This window comes from Homo sapiens, chromosome 14, assembly GCF_000001405.40.
Source record: "Homo sapiens chromosome 14, GRCh38.p14 Primary Assembly".
NCBI lineage: Eukaryota > Metazoa > Chordata > Mammalia > Primates > Hominidae > Homo > Homo sapiens.
The window spans coordinates 97,629,831-97,649,976 of NC_000014.9; the positions used below are offsets into that span (position 1 = coordinate 97,629,831).

The following is a 20,146-nucleotide window of genomic DNA, read 5'->3' on the forward strand; positions in this document are numbered from 1 at the left end:
GTTTTTATACATGAAATTAGTCTCCTCATCACAGTAAACTGAAGCAACATTAAAATAACAGGAAGGCACTAACACATGCGTGTGAGTACACACACACACAGACACACACACACACACACACTCCACTGGAAATTTGGCAGCTATGGAGTTAGGGAGATATGGTGAGGTATTTGGTGGGGGGCATTTTTCCTATCTTTTTCTTTTTCAGTATTTTTGGGATCAAAATTTGGCATGTTACTGTGGCATTTCTATTAGGATGTGGTGAATTGGGGAAATGAAATATGAATTGAAAATAGGACTTAGGTAACATGATAATTTACATAGCCTCTTTTGTGCCAGTAAGAGATTGTGTTTAGGTGTAACTGGGCTCTTGGAAAAGACATCTAGCTTCTTTACATTTCACTATCCCTTTTTTCACCATCATCCTCTCTAGAAGCCCCAAGCGTGGAGAGTTTGGAGGCTGCCTTTAACATCAGGTGGCAAGCCACACCCCTGTGCCCTTGCACCCTTGCCGTGAGAGTACACCATATTTTTCATTTCTTCAACTTGCATTGGCAATCTGTTTCAGCATAATTTACACATTTACACATTTTAGAGAGCAAGGCACAGTCATGCAACTTAATTCCAAAAAACATAAGCACTGAAGGCTGCCTCCGTACATTAGCTTTGCAAAGCATATGAATGCCTTTGCAGAAACCCAATCCAAGGCACACGGCTGTTTGGAATACGTGTCAGGAGGTACCTGCTGCTTGTCATTTTCCACCCAATGTTCTCTGGAGTGTCCTTACTTGGTTGACTTTTCAATGCTGATTTGGGGTCAGCAACTGGTTTATTAGCAGAGGTACCCTTGTAATTGCACAGAATAGAGCACAAGTGTCACCTCTCCTCTCTCCAGCCCTGTGGCCACACCCCTTAAGGGTGAACTTACCCCACTGGGACATCATTTTTATTTCCATAGAAAGAAAGAAAAATAGTTCTTTAATAATCTTGTGGTAAGGAATTAGTGAAAGAGCCTTAGCATAGTACGTCCTCAATTGATACCAGTTTTCTTCTCTTCTTTTCACCAGTGGGACATGGTTCTCTGTTTTTTTTTTTTTTTTTTTTTTTAAAAAGGGAAAAGGACAAATCATTTGCAGGACAAAGTGTGTCTTACATCTCTCCGGAGGAAGGCTCCTCTGAAAGGCACTGTTTGTGACCCCCTGTGACAGTTGTCTTGGTATACAAGGTAATTGAGTTTCTCTCCTATTCAATCGGGCTGCTTCCTTAAAAATAGTGATTAAAACAGACTTACTGGAGGGCAGGATGACATTTATATGGACTGGAGGCATTTTCCTGTTCATTTTGTTTGGGGAGTAACCTTTCAGAAAGGGTAGATTTAATTTAGGGAACACTTCATTAAGCGGGAATTGATTACTAGAAGGAATATTCTTACAATAAAAAATGCCATCATCTCCGAAGACTGGCTCAGTTAAAAAAAAAAAATCTGACAGTTAAGAGAATTGAGGATTTGGGGAGGTAGAGCATGCTTCTTTAATTTGGTGGATTTTTAATTTCTTTCCTTTTCTTTCTTGGGTTTTTTTTTTTTGGTTTTGAATAATCAGTGGTGTTAAAGTGTCTACTCACTATTGCTGGCAACTTCTGATGAAGAATACATGATTAGGGTCATACAAATAGAGATACTTTTGGTGCTAATTCACATATTGAGTATATTCAAAGAGTAATTGATCTTTCCTTTTACCCTCAAAATCCACCCCTAGTTATTAGGGCTATTTTGGGATCTTTTAGGGTTTGCTGTAGGTTGAACCTTAGAGGGAAACTCGAATGCCTAGCAGAAAACTTCAAGGAACAGGATTGACTTTACTAACTTGGAAAACACAATAGCTTGGGGGAATACAGATTTAGACAAACACAGCAATTATTGACTGAATCTTCCCTTTCTGAACCTTGTACTCTTAGAGCACAAAGGTGCTTTTCAGTGACCTCTGGGTTCTCCATGGTAAGTTTATTTGCATGACAAGGTTCTTCCTATGTCTTTTCATTTTGTTGTCGAGTTTTTCTGCACCTTTTAACAGTCTTTGCTCTGCCTCTCTTGGTTGTTTAGTTGAGTGTTCTCTAGGGCTAAATCTCAAAAAGACTGTCTTAAACCAGGTTTTCAAACAATTTCAGCTTTCCTCCTTGAGATCGGCATGGCTGCCCAAATAACAATGGCACCATCCACCTTCTCCACTGGCATAGTACCAAGCCTGGCAAGATAAGTCATGGATATTCCACTCTTAAAGATGCCTATTCAATCGTGTTTAGAATCTAGTGTGAGCTGCCGGCAATCTTATGCAGTAAACTGATATTGTTGCTGTTTTAGTGAAGTGTTTTCTGGACTAGAAAGACTGCTATAGCAGCATGCAAAATGTAATAGGTTTTCGAACAAAATAATCTACTATGTATGATGAAACATTATGGCTTTTTAGCATTTATTGGTCAGAAAACATCCTGTGTATAAGCTTTTATATTTCTTTGTGAGATGAAAAATTTTAAAAATAAATGTATTGCTCAGTGCATCTTTTAACAAATTGTTCCAGGCAACAGTTATCATTTTTTTCATTTTTCAAATTTGCAGAGATTTTACAAGATCTTGGAGCAGGGGAGATACTGTGAAACAGGCACTTTTATATACTAGTTACAGAGGGGGAATTGGTATAATTTGTATGGAAGGCAATTTGCCAATATGCCTTTGGGGACATTAAATATGTTGGTACCCTTTGACCCAGTAATTCTATTTCCAGGAATTCATTCTAAGCAAGTAATCCAACATAGGTAGCTCTTTTCCATAAATTGGTTTATTTAAACATTACCCGAAATCGTGAAGGAAAAAATATTGGAAATTACCAAATGCCCTTAAACAGGCGAATGATTAGGTAACATTTTGTGCATATGTATTAGGTTACGTTAATAAAGAAATTTTAAGGATATAAAGAAAATGCTTATTGATAAAGGTAAAGGCAAAATAGAGAAAGCAAAATTATGTGAACAGTGTGAACTCAATTCCATAAAATGTATATGCATAGAATATGAAAAGAAATTATAGCAAAATATTTATTATTGGTTATCTCCTGGTCTTAAGATTATACACCATTTTTCCTTTTCTTCTTACTTTTTTTCTGTGTTATAAATATGTAAAATAACTAAAGACATCCTAAGTAGTAAAAATAATTTGACCTAAATTGTGTATGTGTGTGTGTGTGTGTGTGTGTGTGTGTATCAATGAAGAATTTTTTTTTGTTTTTATTTATGTTTTCTTTAGGAAAATAAAACATGTCTAGTAAGAAAGATGAAACAAAGAAAGAGTTGGGGTAAGTTCACATTTTTCAAACCAACTTGTGCTTCTAAAATAAAATTCTGCCTCTCCACACACTGGGTTCCTGGAAGCTAACCAAAATCTGCTCAGTAATATTAACTCCACTTAAAAAAAGGAAGAGAACATATTGAACTGCATTCACTTATGGTCTGGGTGCTTGGAAGAAATCAGCTGGTGAGTACCAAAGTGATGACTGCATGTTTCTATTTGCATTTTGAAAATTGACAGATAATTGAAAGGAATCAGCATATGAAATTTCTCCAAGGAAGCCAGCTGAGAAGCCCGAGGAACCCTGCCTACGGAGGCCTCCTGGTGCCTGAAGTCTGGTTGCAGAATGTTCTAGAACTGTACACCTCTTTAGTTATTGTCGAATAGATTCTCTATCTGTGTGCTGGGGACTGGGAATAGCTCCATCTGGTTGTCCAGTCAGTGCAATAACAACACTCCATATTCAAAGCTTCCTTTCCATCATTTTCTTCAATTACGATTTCTGCAAAATCACTGAGACCCTACATGAGAAATAATCAGAAACAGTAATCCATCTTGGTGCCATTTAAATATCCACAGAGATACTTTGTCAGAGAACAGTCTTGGCAGACATTCTTTTAAAATACATTTATTAGTTTTTTAATTGGAAATGGCAGCAATGGCTTTACCTTAAGCAAATACTCAATATACATATTTTTAAATAATCATGAAGATCAAACAATATTTTAAAGGTTTCAGACATGCACGAAATATGCATGCTGATAGATTTTTTAAAAGTGAAATCCATATAGAAGTGTAAAGAAATAGTGAATACTCCCCAGTTAAAAAAAAAGCAATAAAGGTATTTGTGGAGGGAGGGAGGAAGGTAGTGAGGGAGAGGGGAAAATTGGGTTAGGGGGCAGAAAGAGAGAGAGAATTACAAGAAACGCTGGTAATAAAAGCATGTACTTTTTGTTGTAGCTGTGTACGTTTGAAAATAAACTACCAATGTGAAAACATAAACCTGAATTTACCACTTCACTCTCCCCCTGGGGTAGGGGTATAGGCACTGAGAAGCAAACAGGATTCATCTGAGAACATCGGTTGCATGTCTCTGTGCTTCAGTGTTCAAGTCTCCCACAAAATGTATTTATTTAGCAAATGTCACCCAAAACAGCTTGGTAGCAGATGAGGTTTATTTAATGGCAGTAAAACAGGTGAAACATTCCCTACATTTTTCGTCTCTGTTTATGTTTCTATCAAAAAAAAAAAAAGTGAGCTAGTTACAGCTCTTTACACACTCACACAGAACCATGGCATATATTTGAGAAATAACACAAATTTTGCTTAGTAACTGGCTTGGAAAATAGAAATCCCTGTATTTTCTCAAAGCAATTTATGATTTTTCTGTCCAGAGGACAGGATCATCAAATCCAGACTCAACTTCACTTTATTTTTATTTTATTTTATTTTAAATGCTTTCCCTTCAAGATTTGCAATCTCAATTTGGCATCAGTTTTAAGTTCCTTTAAGTCTTACGTTCTCTTCCTATTTTAGCTTTACTATGCTTTGGAGTGTCCTCTCAGTAAGGAAAAAAATCCACCCGATCTCTTCCCCAGCCCTTTCATCTGTAACCTTTCTACAAGTAAATGCTAATTGAAAAAGAAAGAACACCACTAATCTTGGAATTTAAATGCATTTAACAAAACCAATCTCACTCTAAATTGTTGTTTCGCCATTCCCTTTTCCCTAACAGATGTCGAGAAACTGCAATTCCTATTAAGAACACTTGACTGTTTACTCAGCACGAGAACGTCAGCCCCAGCCTGCATCAATCTAAATGCGTTTCGAGACGTCAGGCCCCCGAAAAGTGCAGACGGTTAGTCGGTTATTTTTAAATGTAATCTTCACATAAAAGAATCACTGCACTTTCCCTTTCACTTTGTCATCCCTTCTCTTTTTTAACGATGGCATCAAGCAAAGGCGTAGAAGGGAATTTTATGGCCGTTCCATTTGAGTTGCTTTCGGCATGAGCTAGTGGATTTGTCATGCGGCGAATTAAATTATTAGTTAAGTTTGTAAATTGATTGGGAAAATAATGTGCTGGCCGATATTCTACAGCCTACAGGCTTAACATGAGGGGTGGAGTTGTGATTGCTTGATGGTGTGTGCATGTGTGTGGTGCCGCAGATAGAAAGGTTGAGGCAAAAGGAGTGTTATGTTGGGGTCTCGGGCTTGGCAAGGGCTGGTGGGCGGGAACGAGAGGAACCTCGTGTCCACATCTGAATCTTGAAAACCCTTGCGTTCACTTGGCCTGATCCTCAGAGCATCGTATCATATTTGTCATTTGTTTAAAAGCACTTGTTCAGCAGTTGGCATGTAACATACATATATTGCACACGCAAGCTGCGTGATTTTGCTGTGCTGTGTTTGCACCCGGTTTCCGGGGCCCTTGTCATCTTGCCAACACCAAGCTGCACAATTTGGAAAGATGTATTTTCAGAATTCTCGGCATTTTCACGTTTTCCCTTTCCAGTTCACTGTCCCTCTTACTCAACTTATTAAGAATGGAAGAGAAAAAAAATGCAGATGAGGAAATAGCATTAACTTAAAACTGGAAAGAACATTCCCTGTTTGGAATGAAAGGGAAACTTGTGCATGTGTGGGACCCCTGATGATATGCCAGGCATATCGAGTATACCGCAGGATCACCTGGAGTCTGCGCAGCATCTGAGTGTCATGACTCTTGCTTGCTCCATTTTATAGATGAGAAAACTGAGGATCTACAAGGTTGATTCGACTTCAAAGCTGATCTGTTAAAGATGCCAGGCCAGCACTGAAGCTTATGCTTCATTAACAAAAACCACACAGACTTTCCTTTCTCATTCCTTTTTAAAAATCTTTTAAAAGAGATATTTGAACTAGCTGGGAGTAGTGGCTCATGCCTGTAATTCCAGCATTTTGGGAGGCCAAGGCAGGTGGATCATTTGAAGTCAGGAGTTCGAGATCAGCCTGGCAAACATGGTGAAACCTCATCTCTACTAAAAATATAAAAATTTGCCAGGAGTGGTGGTGTGTGCCTGTAATCCCAGCTACTCAGGAGGCTGAGGCAGGAGATTCACTTGAGCCTGGGAAGCTGAGGTTGCGGTGAGCGGAGATCAAGCCACTACAGTCCAGTCTGGGTGAGAGAGTGAGACCATGTCTCAGAAAAAAAAAAAAAAAAAAAAAAAAGATACTTGAACACATACGTTAAGTCTTTTACCACGTGGTAAGCTTCTGAAGGATGGACGCTTGTTCTGATTTAACTGTGTCTAGTCCCCAGCACTTGTTTCCTCCTGCTAGCCATATATTAGTGGTCAAATGATAAATTACAGAATTGCTAAGTGCATTCATTGCTAGAGTTGCAGTCACACCAGCCTCCTCTGTGTGATTTCCAAGCAGACGTTAATTTTGCTGGCTTGTAATATACAAAAGAAATATCGGCGGGGTGCGGAGGCATTTGGGACCTGGCCTGGCCTCCAAGTCCATTCATTGGTGTGTCTGGTTCAGACTGAGAACCATCTTCCCTCACGTGTTCTAATTGATTTTCACGCCTTTGAGTTTGACTATGTGCCTGAGCTGGGTGAGAACAGGCCTGAATTTGGAGGTTGGAAGTCCAGGCCAGCTGGTGGTTCTGGGCTCTAGAATCCAGGGCCCTAGGTCTGCACTTCACTCTCAAGTAGCTTCAGGAGGATTATCTTGTCCGAGAGTCCGTGTCCTCCTCATGATGGCAAAAAGTAACAGTCCCTCCGTCCACCTCCATCTCTCAAGGATACTGCAAAGTACAGTGGCTTGTCTGGTAAATGTATAGTAAGTTCCAGTTACATTTAGTAGAAATGATAAATTTAGGAATTCAAACAAGGTGCAGTGCCTCAAACTAGCACCATGGGCTTTTCCCTTTTCCTCCTGCCTCGGGCTTATTGTCTGCCTGTCCCTCTGCTGGGTTCCCTGCCTCCCTTCTCTTTCTTCCTGTTTGCTGCTCAGTCTTCAGTTCCTATCCTCCAGCCCCTGAATCTTCCATCTTCCTTTCTTAACTCTCTTTCCACTTTCCTTAGGCCTCCATTCCCCCTCCCTTATTTGCAAATCCTGTTCTCAGGCTTTGCTTGTTCTTGGTAAGGCGGAGCAATGGACATGGCACTCCTGAGAGGCACAGGAGGAAGCACTTTCTGTTGTCTTGAGGGAGGACGGGCTCCCAGGAATCACAGCTCACCCCAGGGGTGTTTTGATGAGGTCGAACTGGCTTGGAGCAGAATGCTAGTTAGGTTTTATGTACTCGAGATGCTGAGATACTTACAATCCTTCTGCCCTGGTTGAAAGGCTTGCCCCTATATATCTCTGGAGAGTCAGAAGGAGGAATCCAAGCTTTGGTGGTCTCTCTGGCACAGCATTTGCATATGCTAAGTGTATCAGGCTAGTTTTCTGCTTGTAATCTTCGAGTTTCCGGAGACTAGATCACAAGAAGAGGAGGTGAATGTGGCAAGGGAGAGGAAGGGAGACATTAAGATTTAAAATCTTAAAATAGTTTAGACCAATTCCTTCCTTTTATGTAGGAAGAAATCAGTCTCAGAGAGTTCAAGAGAACTTTCGCAGACTCACAGAGCAAAAAAGAGGAGAAAAATCCAAACCTATGTTTCTTGATGTTTGTTTGTTTGTTTTCTCCATTCTATACTAATAGAAATGGAAAGGGAAAGAAGAAGAAATTAAATCAGGAGATGAGACGGAAGAAGAGAAATCAGAGGATCTAGTCCAATTGTTCTTTCCAAGCAATCCATTGGCTAAACCCCACTTGCTGGATTTAGAATTAAAGGACCAAGTAATGAGCCATATGAAATTGAACAAGCCATTTGAATTCTCCCACTTCCACATCCCTTATCCACCCAGCAACACATTAGAGCATTCTTTTGATTCTTCCTTTAAAAGATCCAGTTTGAAATTTGATATTGTTTGGATTTGTGCCCCCACCAAATCTCGTGTTGAATTGTAATCGCCAGTGTTGGAGGAGGGGCCTGGTGGGAGGTGCTTGGATCACGGGGGTGGACTTCCCCCTTGCTGTTGTTGTGATAGTGAGTGAGTTCTCAGGAGATCTGTTTGTTTAAAAATGTGTAGCACCTTCCCCCTTCTCTCTCTTTCTCCTGCTTCAGCCATGTAAAATATGCCTGCTTCTTCACCTTCCACCATGATTGTAAGTTTCCTGAGGCTTCTCCAGCCATGCTTCCTGTACACCCTGGGGAATCATGAGCCAATTAAACCTCTTTTCTTTATAAATTACCCAGTCTTAGGTATCTCTTTATAGCAGTACAAGAATAGCCTAACACAAAATTCAACTAGCACTGGATTTACCTACCTTATCCCCTACAATGTATAAGCCAGGAACAATTCAATACTTCCAATTAGTTTTTGAGTAATTTTCACTATCTCATTTTACAGACAGTGAGACTGAACTTGAAGCTTCCTACATGTGTACCTTTTTTTTTCATTTAGGGGAAGCAAACTGAGTGTGGTGGAAAGAACACAAACTTTAGAATCAGGTACATTTTTGTTTTTTTTTTTTAAACCACTTTCTGTGTTTCTCAGCACTAGTAATGACGCTAAACTTCAACTTTCTCAGCTGTCAAAGGAAATAAGGAAGCTGACCCTGAAGAAATAATGGGGGCTAAGTGGGAGCGTGTACATAGAAGCCCTCACTAGAGGAGTTGACTCTCCAGGAGGTGAAAGTGAGAGAAAGACACACATCACCTGCTGTACTTCCATTTGGAGCTTGGTTCTTAAGGTGGGTGAACAGAGTAGATAAAGAAAGATTACAAAATCTTCCTACATATGTAATTTCATTCTGTTCATTCAGAGAATTAAACTGAGCCCTCACTAGGATTGAGTCATGCTTCCTGGTTTTGAAACTGTCAGAATGCTTGAGAAAACAACAACAAACAACTATTACTGGTGGGTGAAGAAACGAGAAAGTTCTTAATGAGGCAAAAACAATGACTGCTAGAGCAAGCTCTGGTCCCACAGAGCACTAATGGTCCCCACGCATTCCCAGGCTCCTGCTGTGCAGTGGGCCCCCTGGGCCTCACGTGTAAAAGCAAAAAGGAAAGAAATAGAACCATGAAATGCATAGTGTATCTATGTAAGCATTTTATCCGTAGCCTCAGAAAAAAAAAATGAGAAGAATGAATAGGAGGTCGGTTAACTGTAGTAACTTCAAGTCTATGTTCTTCAATAAGGATCCAGGTGGTCCCTGTGTAGAAAATAATAAAGAAATGCATGGTCTACTGTTGTATAGGCTTCTGGGAGGATTTGGGAAGTGTGAGAATTACAGGCTCTGCTGCAACCTTGCCAGGTATCGACAAGGTTGCCCAAGAACCCTTGTGCAAAAACTCAACCAGACTTTCCAAAGCCCCTGCAGATGCCTCACTGGCATTCAGCTTTGTTGAAAACAAAACAATCAAAAAAGTAGTTCAAGTTTGCTATTACAGCCTTCTTGCCTCCCTTCCCTCACACAAAATAGCCCTGAGCCCAGCCCCATGGTTGTGAGAGCCTGCCCACCTCTCACTTTGCACTTCTCTGTCCTGTGTATCCCCCTGGCTTGCCTTTCCCATTTCCATGTCTGACCCATCCTTCACATTGTGAATGTATCTTTCACCGGGAGCCCCTGGACTCCTTTAGCCCTAGGCTGCCTCCCCGCTGCCTGGGATCTGCAGGGCCTCCTCTGCTGCACTGACTTCTTCTTCTAAATTGCAGTTCTTTCTTCCCCGGGACAGTCTCCCCCGGACCAACCCTGGGTTGGTTCTGATGACACTAGCACACTTCTGCAAGTCTCAGTTCTGCGTGTGCCAAGCAGAGTGTCGGGTACATTCATGAATGTTCACGCACACATGAGTGGACATACAGGAGCCACTGCTCTGGAGTGTCTACCAGAGGGGCATTCACTGCAGCTCTGTGCCTTTGAGGCTGGGCTCTGTGCTAGGCTTTCTGCTTTGTGCTTTTGAAACCACGTGGCTTAGGTTGGAATTCTGGCTCGGCCACTTCCTGGTTGTGACCTTGGATGAATTCCTTAAATTCTTGGTACCCCACCTGTTTCCTCACCTGTCAAGTGGAGAGATTCCTCACCAAATGAAGAGACTAACGCTACATATCTCCCTGGGTGTTGTGAGGGTTAAGTGAGTTGATACATATAAAACACAGAACCAGGCCCAAGCATTGTTAGTGTTTATTACAGGCCAGCACTTTGGATTTAGAAGACATGGGCAGAGAGGCTTGGAGAGATTCATCAGTCCAATTGCTGCCCATGCAGGTCCAGGAACTCAAGTTCAGAGAGGCCCAGAGCCTGTGTAAAGCCAGTTTGGTGACAGGCTCAGAGAAGACTCTGACTCTTTGTGGACAGTGGACATTATCATGTGTGTGTGTGTGTGTGTGTGTGTGTGAGAGAGAGAGAGAGAGAGAGAGAGAGAGAGAGAGAGAGAGACATACAGAGAGGTGGGAGGATGGAGGGTTAGGGAGAGAAGACAACGCCAGCCTGTTTCCAAATCTGAGCAGATTTCTAATTAGGATAACATTCAGCGATTCTTACAAGAAAATATAAGAAAGGAGGAACTCATCTCTGGGCCTGCTTAGAAGTACGTGGTGGCAGAAGGTAATCAAGCTTCCTTGAACCTCTGCAACTGCTCGGCTCAGAATCTGGCACGAGCTATCTTTGTTTCCCTATCTTTTCCTGAAGCCTTTAGCAATCGCTAACAATCCTATTTACCCTGTGTACCAGACAAACACTGTTACCGTCGCCATCTCACTATTTTTATCTAATATTGAAATTTCTCTTCCTAAGAGCAGCCCTGAATATATTATGATATCTGCTGAATAAATGATGTGCGTAATATACTGTGCAGAGATGGTATTTATGAAGCCCAGGTCTAAGCTAAAAAGAAGGATTCATTCAGTTCTCATTTGAAAGGAAATTCAATTGGATAAATTTTCAAGAAAGCAAAGTCATGTATTTCCTTTTAAACATCCATACAAACTTTTGGATTCAAGGCCAATTTCTTCCTATCCCTCCATGAGAGAGATTGCCCTGCCATTTGTAACATATTTTTTTTTTCCTACAGAAATCGAGGTTGTCTCCCTGTTCCTAAGTGAGGCTTGTCCCATTAGTACCATCATCATCTTAGTAGAATAAATATAATGATATGTCAAACACATTTAACAGTGTCTGAGACATTACAAATCACTCTCTCTAAATGTCTCTGAGTTAAAGGGGCTTTAAAGCCTTCCCATTTTGCAAGGGAGGAGGCTGTACAACAATAGGAAGTGCTAGGAAGTGGATCGCTGATTTCTCAATGGCCCTTCCAGCTCTATGAGGTGTTTTAATATTCATCACACAATTGTCTTTCACCTCTTATACTTGGTGTAGAGTAGCCATAGTGATGGTAGCAGTTATGGTATTAATAAAACTATTCTTTGCTTATTACAACAGTTTATAAAGTACCACTCTCTAGTGATACATTGGGGGACTGAGGTCAGAAGAAAAAAAGTGGGTAATTTGTGCAAGTTCACATGAGGAATGAATAAGGAACCCTAGTTCAGCTCAGGACTTGTGCTCCTGATGGCAAGTCCACCGTCTGTCTTTGTGAGTGTGTGCTGCTGCTGCTGCTGCTGTGTTTGTCTTTCCCTGGGGGCTTTGACCCTCGTGATTCTGACTTGGGAAGCCAAAATCTGGTCAGCTTTGTTAACACAAAATTAAAAGTCAGAAAGTCAAGTGCGTGGTTAAAGAAGTGCTAATCCGGTCGGGTGCAGTGGCTCATGCCTGCAATCTCTGCACTTTGTGAGACTGAGGTGGGTGGATCACTTGAGGTCTGGCCAACATATGGTGAAACCCCATCTGTACTAAAAATACAAAAATTAGCCGGGCGTGGTGGCATGGGCTTGTAATCCTCCCAGCGACTTGGGAGGCTGGGGTGGGAGAATCCCTTGAATCCAGGAGGTGGAGTTTGCAGTGAGCCTAGATCACGCCACTGTGCTACAGCCTGGATGACAGACTGAGACTTTGTCTCAAAAAAAAAAAGAAGAAAGAAAGAAAAGAAGTGCTAACCCTCATTTCTGAGTTTCCTCATCCTGGGATTTTACCTCTACATTCATTCAATCTGCCCTTAAAGACAAGAAAAAAAAGAAGGCTTGAAACAATAACAACAACACTGCAAAACTTTCAGGAATTTTCTAAATAAATGTCTTTCTTTTTCAGATGGGGAAAACGATTTTGCAGGTGAAACTCAGAAAGATGAAGCAGCTTTCCAGAACCACAAAGCGAACCGAGGGCAACATGAAGACGAAGACTCAGGTCTCTTTATTCTTCTCAAAGTGATCTTTCCATTGTGTCGCGAGGCTGCTACTTGGCGATCTTCAGAACATTAGGACAAAGTAACTCACCAATCAGGGGTTTACTGCCTTACCTGCCGGATCTGTTAGCCTCCACAGACCTCAATCCTACCCCCCATAAGATGGATCACAGAAGGTTAGCAAAATGGCTTAAAGAGTCTTTCTTTTTTCAGCATCTCAGGGTCGGATGACAAAAACATGCTCAGAGCTGCATTCCCCAAAGCAAGAGTCATGTGGGCAGGCACACAGGCTGGGTGCAAAGGAAGGTCAAAGAAGTTTGGAAAAATTCTGTTTTCAATCGTTTCTTTGCAGCAGATTTAGAAGGATCATGTGCCCTATGTGAATACCCTAGAGGGACAAGCTATGAATTATTTCCCAACTTATTTGTGTAGAGACTTTTTTTTTTTTTTTTTTTTGCAAAGAATATCTTGCAGTACTAACGATCTGTGGATAATACTTCAAGTAAGGATGCTTTAGACCACTGGTCAACAAATTATGGTCCACAGATCAAATATGTCTTGCAAATAAAGTTTTATTGCTGCACAGACACATTTGGAACGCAGAGACTAAGTGGCCCACAGAGTCAATATTTACTATCTGGTTCTTTAGAAAAGAAGTGTGTATCCCCTTTAGAGAATAGTACTATGGGCTCCTTGTACTTTATATTGTAACTTAGAGCCTCAGCATTAGTTACCATAAATGTTGGAGACAGAACATTTTCCCTCCTTCCTAACAGTACAATGGAGTCTATCCACTGAGATGGTTGTTATGGACACATGCTTAGAGTTTTCACTTACAGTCCATCTAAGCATCCATTCACAGATGATATGGTTTGTCTATGTCCCCACCCAAATCTCATCCTGAATTGTAGCTCCCACAATTCCCATGTTTCATGGGAGGGACCCAGTGGGAGGTAATTGAATCATGGGATGGGTCCTTCCCACACTGTTCTTGTCATGGTGAATTAGTCTCACAGGATCTGATGGTTTCATAAAGGAGAGTTCCCCTACACACTCTCTTTCTCTTTGGCTGCTGCCATCCATGTAAGATATGACTTGCTCCTCCTTGCTTTCCACCATGATTGTGAGGCCTCCCCAGCCATGTGGAAATGTGAGTCCATTAAACCTCTTTTATTCATAAACCAGTCTCAGGTATGTCTTTATTAGCAGTGTGAGAACAGACTAATACAACAGATAAGTTAACTAAGACTTGCTTGTAAATGTGACAAACTTGAGATCATATAGATGGCCCAATTCCAGGGCTGGGGTGGTTACATCCACTGCATAATGGCCTTGTCCACTTCATGCTAAGTGGGAGAAACTGGGATGGAAAGGCTAGTTCTCTATTGGAAACTGCATCCAGATTGGAGGCCCATTCTAAGTTTCCCAGTGAAGAGGAATTGCAATTGAGCTTCTGCCTGTGTCATTCCAGGGCATGCTAACATTTGCTATAGGTTTACATCTAACCTTAAATTTGTAGTTTTTTTTTCTTTTGTTGCAGATTGGTTTTCAGTGAACTGAATACTAAAAAGATATTATAGAGAGAAACAACCCGCCTGGCTGATTGTTTCTTCCCAAAATGGATGTGATGATGAGCGAACACTTTCATTTACATAAACAATCAGTTGAAAGGCCCTCACCAAATGTGAGCATTCATATTTGATGACATCCTGATTATAACCATAAATAACAATATTTTCATTGTTGGGTAATAAACATCATTATCCAGTGTGTTTTAGGTGAGTGGGCACTTAACGGGGTAAGAAGGAGATGATCAGGAAGATTAAGGTGAGAGCTCAGTAAGATGAGAAGAGATAACCTTGCAAATTTAAGGTATGCAATAAACATCTTTGCCAAGGGCCTGTTTGTCAATACAATTAGGTTTTTTGACTCAAACCAGATAACTTGTGCAAATAAAATGTATCACAGGAGAAAAATCTTTTAATCACCCTGCAAGCCTGTGTCAAAGGACAAAATGTGCCAGGTTCTGCCTGTGGTGAGCTCATGGTCTGGCGAGATGACCAGAGCACTCATAGACAAGCCATGACAGTGCAGTGTGAAAAAAGTGTCAGAACAAACAAAACAAGTTTCTGTGGGTCTGTTTCTGTGCAGGTGTTCTATGATCCTGTGATTCTGATTTCATTGTTTTGTTCTTTTGCTTTGTTTTGTCTTTGGTTGCTTATTTTTAAATTTCCATTTCTGTAGTTTTAAATTATTGTATTCATGTAGGATATACCTTCATAAAGCTCATTAACCTTCAGCATACAGGTTGGTGAATTTTTATATATAAGCACACTTATGTGACCACCAACTAGATCAAGACACAGGATATTCAGTAACCCAAATGTGGACACTTTGTTTATTTTATTATTATTATTATTTTTTGTGAGACGGAGTCTGGCTCTGTCACCCAGGCTGGAGTGCAGTGGCGCCATCTCGGCTCACTGCAAGCCTTGCCTTCCGGGTTCACGCTGTTCTCCTGCCTCAGCCTCCCGAGTAGCTGGGACTACAGGCGCCCACCACCACGCCCGGCTAATTTTTTTGTATTTTTAGTAGAGACGGGGTTTCACTGTGTTAGCCAGGATGGTCTTGAACTCCTGACCTCGTGATCCACCTGCCTTGGCCTTCCAAGGTGCTGGGATTACGGGCGTGAGCCACTGTGCCAGTGAATTGTTTTAAACCTCAAAGCAGTGTACCTTATAAATAAACAAAGGAAAATAAAATTACAGAGACCAAAAGAAAAATAAATTCTAAAAAGATTATCAGCCAGTGGTTGCACACACCTATAGTCCCAGCTACTCAGGAGGCTGAGGCAGGAAGATCCTTGATCCCAGGAGTTTGAGGCTGCAGGGAGCTATGATCACTCCGCTGCATTCCAGCCTGGGTGACAGGGTGACACCCTGTGTCAAAATAAAATAAAATAATAAGATTATGAAAGAGGCAGTGGTCATGAGCATAGGCGTTAGCACAGAGACAAATCCAAAACCTGGAGCTGGCATCCACAACCTGTGAGTCCCTAGAAAATGCATCTCATCTCTTTGAGGCTCAGTTTCCCCAACTGCAAATCACCAATGACAATACCAAATTGGGAGGATAAGAACTGTGAGATTGATAGGGAGAGTTGTGCAGGTAACTGTAGTAGGACAGGTAGAAGCCCCCCATGATGTGGCCCACAATGAGAGGTCAGGAAATATTTGCTAGTCCTATGATGAGAAGATGGCAACAATGCAGAGGTTCCACTTTGCAGCAGGTCAATAGTTTGTATGGCCTCTAAGTTATGGATTTACTTGTTCAAAGGAAATGCCATTCATAAGGGAAGAAGAACATGTCATTGATGAGTTGTGAAGAAGGTCCTTGCTTCTCCATCACTTCTGCCATGATATAAGTTTTCTGAGGCCTCCCTGGCCATGTAAAACTGTGAGTCAATTAAACCTCCTTTCTTTATAAAATACCCAATCTCGGGTATTTCTTTATATCAGTGTGAAAATTGACTAATACATACAGCATGAGTGTCTAAGCCTCTCTGAGCCTTGCTTTTCTCATTGTTATGGGGAGGTAGTGGAATCTGTGCTCCAGGCTAGTTGGGAGAGTTAAATGATGTGTTATATTACCTCCTGGTCCATGGTAAACACTTCCCAAATGTTGACTTCTCCTTCTTCATTCTGAAAGCAGACAATTGGGAGAAAAGCTCTGTGGTTTTTTTTTCTCCTTTGCAAACTCCAGTACATTCTCACTGACAAATCAGGACCACAAAGAGAGAGTTGATGGGAGAGATGAATGAAGCACCAGTTCTTGCCTCTTCTTTTAATTCAAGTTTTATCTCTATGGATAAGCATCATCAGACACTGGTCAAACATTTTATGGTTTAGAAAGGAATTATAATTCAGAGAAAGAAAATTACATAAAAGGAAAGAAGTAGTTACAAAATAAGTTCTCTCATTCTATGTATCTTTTTATTTTGTACACTAATTTCTGGATATGTCTGTTAATCAGCATTTAGCTGTTTTACAACTGGTACAATTATTTTGTCAAAGGTCATAGGGGTTTTTTGTAGTTTTTTTTTAATTAATCTTTGAAAATAAAGTTAATTTACAGTTTATCAACTTAGATTACTAGAAATCGCTCCCACGGGCTTTTCAACTGCAACAAAACCTCAGAAAAATGAATTTTTAAGACTAATCTGTAAGACTTAAAAACATTAATAACTATCATTGAATCAGCAGGAGAAAAAATAGACTGTCTCTTGTCTCCCTCTGCATTCAGAACCAAGGTTTTGTATTTTCCCCATAAACATTCAGAATCTGATTTTCCTGTTCTTTTTTCCTGCAAAACAAATGGCGATTTTCCATGATGACGATAATTATATAGCACCTAAGGGCTTAAAAACACACTCACTCTCAGGCTGTCTATGAACATGCTCTTAGCTCACTCCTGAGAAGAAAGGAGTTTTATTGACAAACTGTTTTTCAGTTGAATGAATTGAAGCTCAGGGAGGTGGGCTGGCTTAATCAAGCTCAGGTGGCTACAAGTGGTTGAGGCAGGTCTGAAAACTGAGGAAGGAACCAAGGCTGTGCACTTTCCTGTGATTAGAAAGATGGGGTCTAAATTGTACGTACTGAACAACCAAATTGAAGATAGCCCTGTCCCAATACCTAGGTCCCCTCTCTTCTCAGTCCTCCCCATCTTTAAAGCCCCAGGAAGGTATGCCCAGATTTTGAGAATTGACTACGTCATTCCAAGCCTCAGTCCAAAGTGACCAGTTGAGTGTTTCCAAAGGGCCACGGTGCAAGAAAGCAGAGTGGGCATCTCCTATTTGAAATTCAGGTCCTTCCCCTGACATGCATTAACCATGTGATCTTGTCCAAATTGCTACTTCTTTTTGACCCTAATTTTCCCATCTGTAGAAAGGAAGAACAATATCCACCTAGTAGCATGATTATAAGTATTAAATAAAACAATGCGTGCAAACGTATGAGGATCAGAGTTAAGCATATAATAGATGCTTAATAAGTGCTATCCCAATTTCTCCCTTCTCTGGAATGAGTTCACTTTGCTTGAACACATTGACGTTGATAGGCATATATGGAAAATGTGAGGTCTGGTGAAGCAGAGGTTGCAGGAGGTCAGCAAACCTGACTCTCCTTCTTCCTGAGAACATGGCAGACCACATTAACTGGCCTCCTTTGCAGTTAGGCATTGCTGTGTGGCTCTGAATATGATGAAGAAAATGATGGTGAATTTAAAAGGATGGTTCTTTTCCTTCAGGAACACACATTAAGAATGAACTTCAGCAAGCAATAAACTTCAGATCTGGCCAATCACTGATAGTTGGGAGTTTACCTGTTATAGTGGCTAGTGTTACCTTATCCAGTACTTACCCATGCAACGTGGTTCATTCACTTAGAAATAGCTCACACATTTACATACACAGCAACGTGTGCACACACACAGACACACACACACAGACACACAGACACACACACACACACACACACCAGAAATTTAACATTTTTGTGGATACAGTGAATGTTTTATGGAATTTTTAAAATTCTTGATAGTATCGAGAATTCAAAAATTTATACTTGGAGAGACCTTCAGAGGCCAATTGACAATTTCCCTTTTATAGCTGTCTTGCAGTTGACCACCCACTGCTTGAACCTCTCCTCTGATATGGTGCCCACTGTCTCCCATGAAAATTCCTGGCCAAGACAGCTCTAAGTGTTACAATGTGGGCTTCATGACAAGATCAGAGCTGCCTTCTCTAATGCCTAGCCATTCACCAGGGCTCCACCCTCTGAGAACCAAGAGCCTGCTTGTTTTCCTATAGAAAATCCCCTTAAATAATTGAAAATATAGCCAGTTCCTCCATAACCTTTGTTTTGAAAGTGCACTTTTGTTTAATGTGATTGATGTCGTAAGGAACAATGCAACATTACAAAACTACACCTAGCTAGATGGAGCCACATAGAAATGTGAGACAACTTACCCTCCCATCTCAGGTCACCCTTCCTCCATCACTTCACAATAACTCACAAGCCTCCCTACTTCCCAGGCCCCCTTCCGCAAGCAAGCTTCAGCCCTTTCTCAAAGTTAGTGTTGCATTTATTGTAGCATGCATATATTTATTAACTACTTAACTGGTGCAAAACGGCAGTATCTCTTCTATTAGGTCATATATTTTTAAAAATGTGTCCCTGATGAAGTTTTTAAATGTTGTGCCCTAGCCTGATTTCCTCTCTAATCCCTGGGATTGTGAGTGATTTTTAGGAACACAGATGTCACAGTGTGGCAGAACTGACTGTAGAACTTGCCTCTTCCTTTGGCTTGTTGATGAGATAGGGGAGTGTTTGTCATTAAGGTACATCTTCACATTCTCTCAATAGAAAAGAACCTTGCACCAGGCTTGGCCTGTGCTGGAAACTCAATGATGAGTAAACACAAGTAGTTCTTGTGTTTCCAGAGCTTACAGATTATAGTCCTCCCAACCTCTCAATTCTCCTAGGAAGAAGAACAAATAGACAAACAAAGGAGGATGACAATGAAATGGTGTAATTTCTGGCTCAGCTAATCCAACCACTGAAAACAGAGAAAAAGGAGAGAATTCATGTTGGTGGGTCACTTGCACCAGTGCCTGTGCCAGGTGTTTATATAACCATTAGGTCCATTCAGCCCAGCTACAAGCCCTGGGGTGAGCTTTACATCTTTCATTTTGGAAGTGAGGGACTGGGGAGTTTTAGCATCTTCTGAAGACCTAGGGCTCAAATCCCATTGAGCTCTGACACTAATTCTTACGTATTTTCCAATATATCATGATTTTCCCCAGTGTGCTTTCTGCCTTACCCAGTGTCTACTCTGTTGAATTAAGGACCAAATATGTTTTTGATGCTGACGGTTCTTTGCATGGTGTTCACATATTAGCCAGGAAAGTGGGAGTTGGAACTACCAAATAAAAGTAGGCAGGATTTGCCTGACCAGGGAGGGCAAAAGACAAATACAAGTATGTAGATTGTTAACAGATATTATTTGACTTCAAGCCCAATTCAGAACTAATAAAGTTTGCATAATTCATACAATCATAAAATGAAACATTTTGCAAAATTGCATCACATATGGAAGTGATGACCTATCATCTAGTATCTATGAAGTGCAAGGGTGATTTGAAAGCTGTATTTCAAGGGGCCTTTGAGAGATCATTTGGGGCCAGAAATGGCCAATATAGTGGAGTTGTGGCCATTTGGTGCCGGCATGGCAACTAAAAGCTGGAACTGCAGCCAGGAATGCAGTAAAAAGAGACTATGCATCCTGTTTCTACGACTTATATTCATCACCGCAGACAACCAGGTAATTCAATTATCTTTGGCCTTGGAAGTCTGTGTCATGTGGTTTTTGTGCCTTTCTCTATCAGTCCCTGTTGTTCCGTCAGACC

The 20,146-nt window shown here is 41.0% G+C and overlaps 2 long non-coding RNA genes across 2 annotated transcripts in view; one reads left to right on the top strand and one right to left on the bottom strand.

Annotated features, from left to right (window-relative positions):
• Positions 1-1,113: 1,113 nt before the first annotated feature.
• Positions 1,114-9,063, top strand: LOC124903378 (uncharacterized). Its single transcript, XR_007064326.1, has 5 exons — positions 1,114-1,225; positions 3,299-3,347; positions 5,076-5,198; positions 8,840-8,886; positions 8,967-9,063. It is a non-coding gene; the product is annotated as an uncharacterized LOC124903378 (long non-coding RNA).
• The window catches only part of LINC02291 (long intergenic non-protein coding RNA 2291), a 54,012-nt gene continuing 36,682 nt past the window's right edge, over positions 2,817-20,146 (bottom strand). Inside the window, exons 3-4 of the long non-coding RNA NR_033943.1 lie at positions 16,332-16,542; positions 2,817-3,861 (exon numbers count right to left, since the gene is read on the bottom strand). This is a non-coding gene — a long non-coding RNA (long intergenic non-protein coding RNA 2291). The remainder of the gene's footprint in view (positions 3,862-16,331; positions 16,543-20,146) is intronic.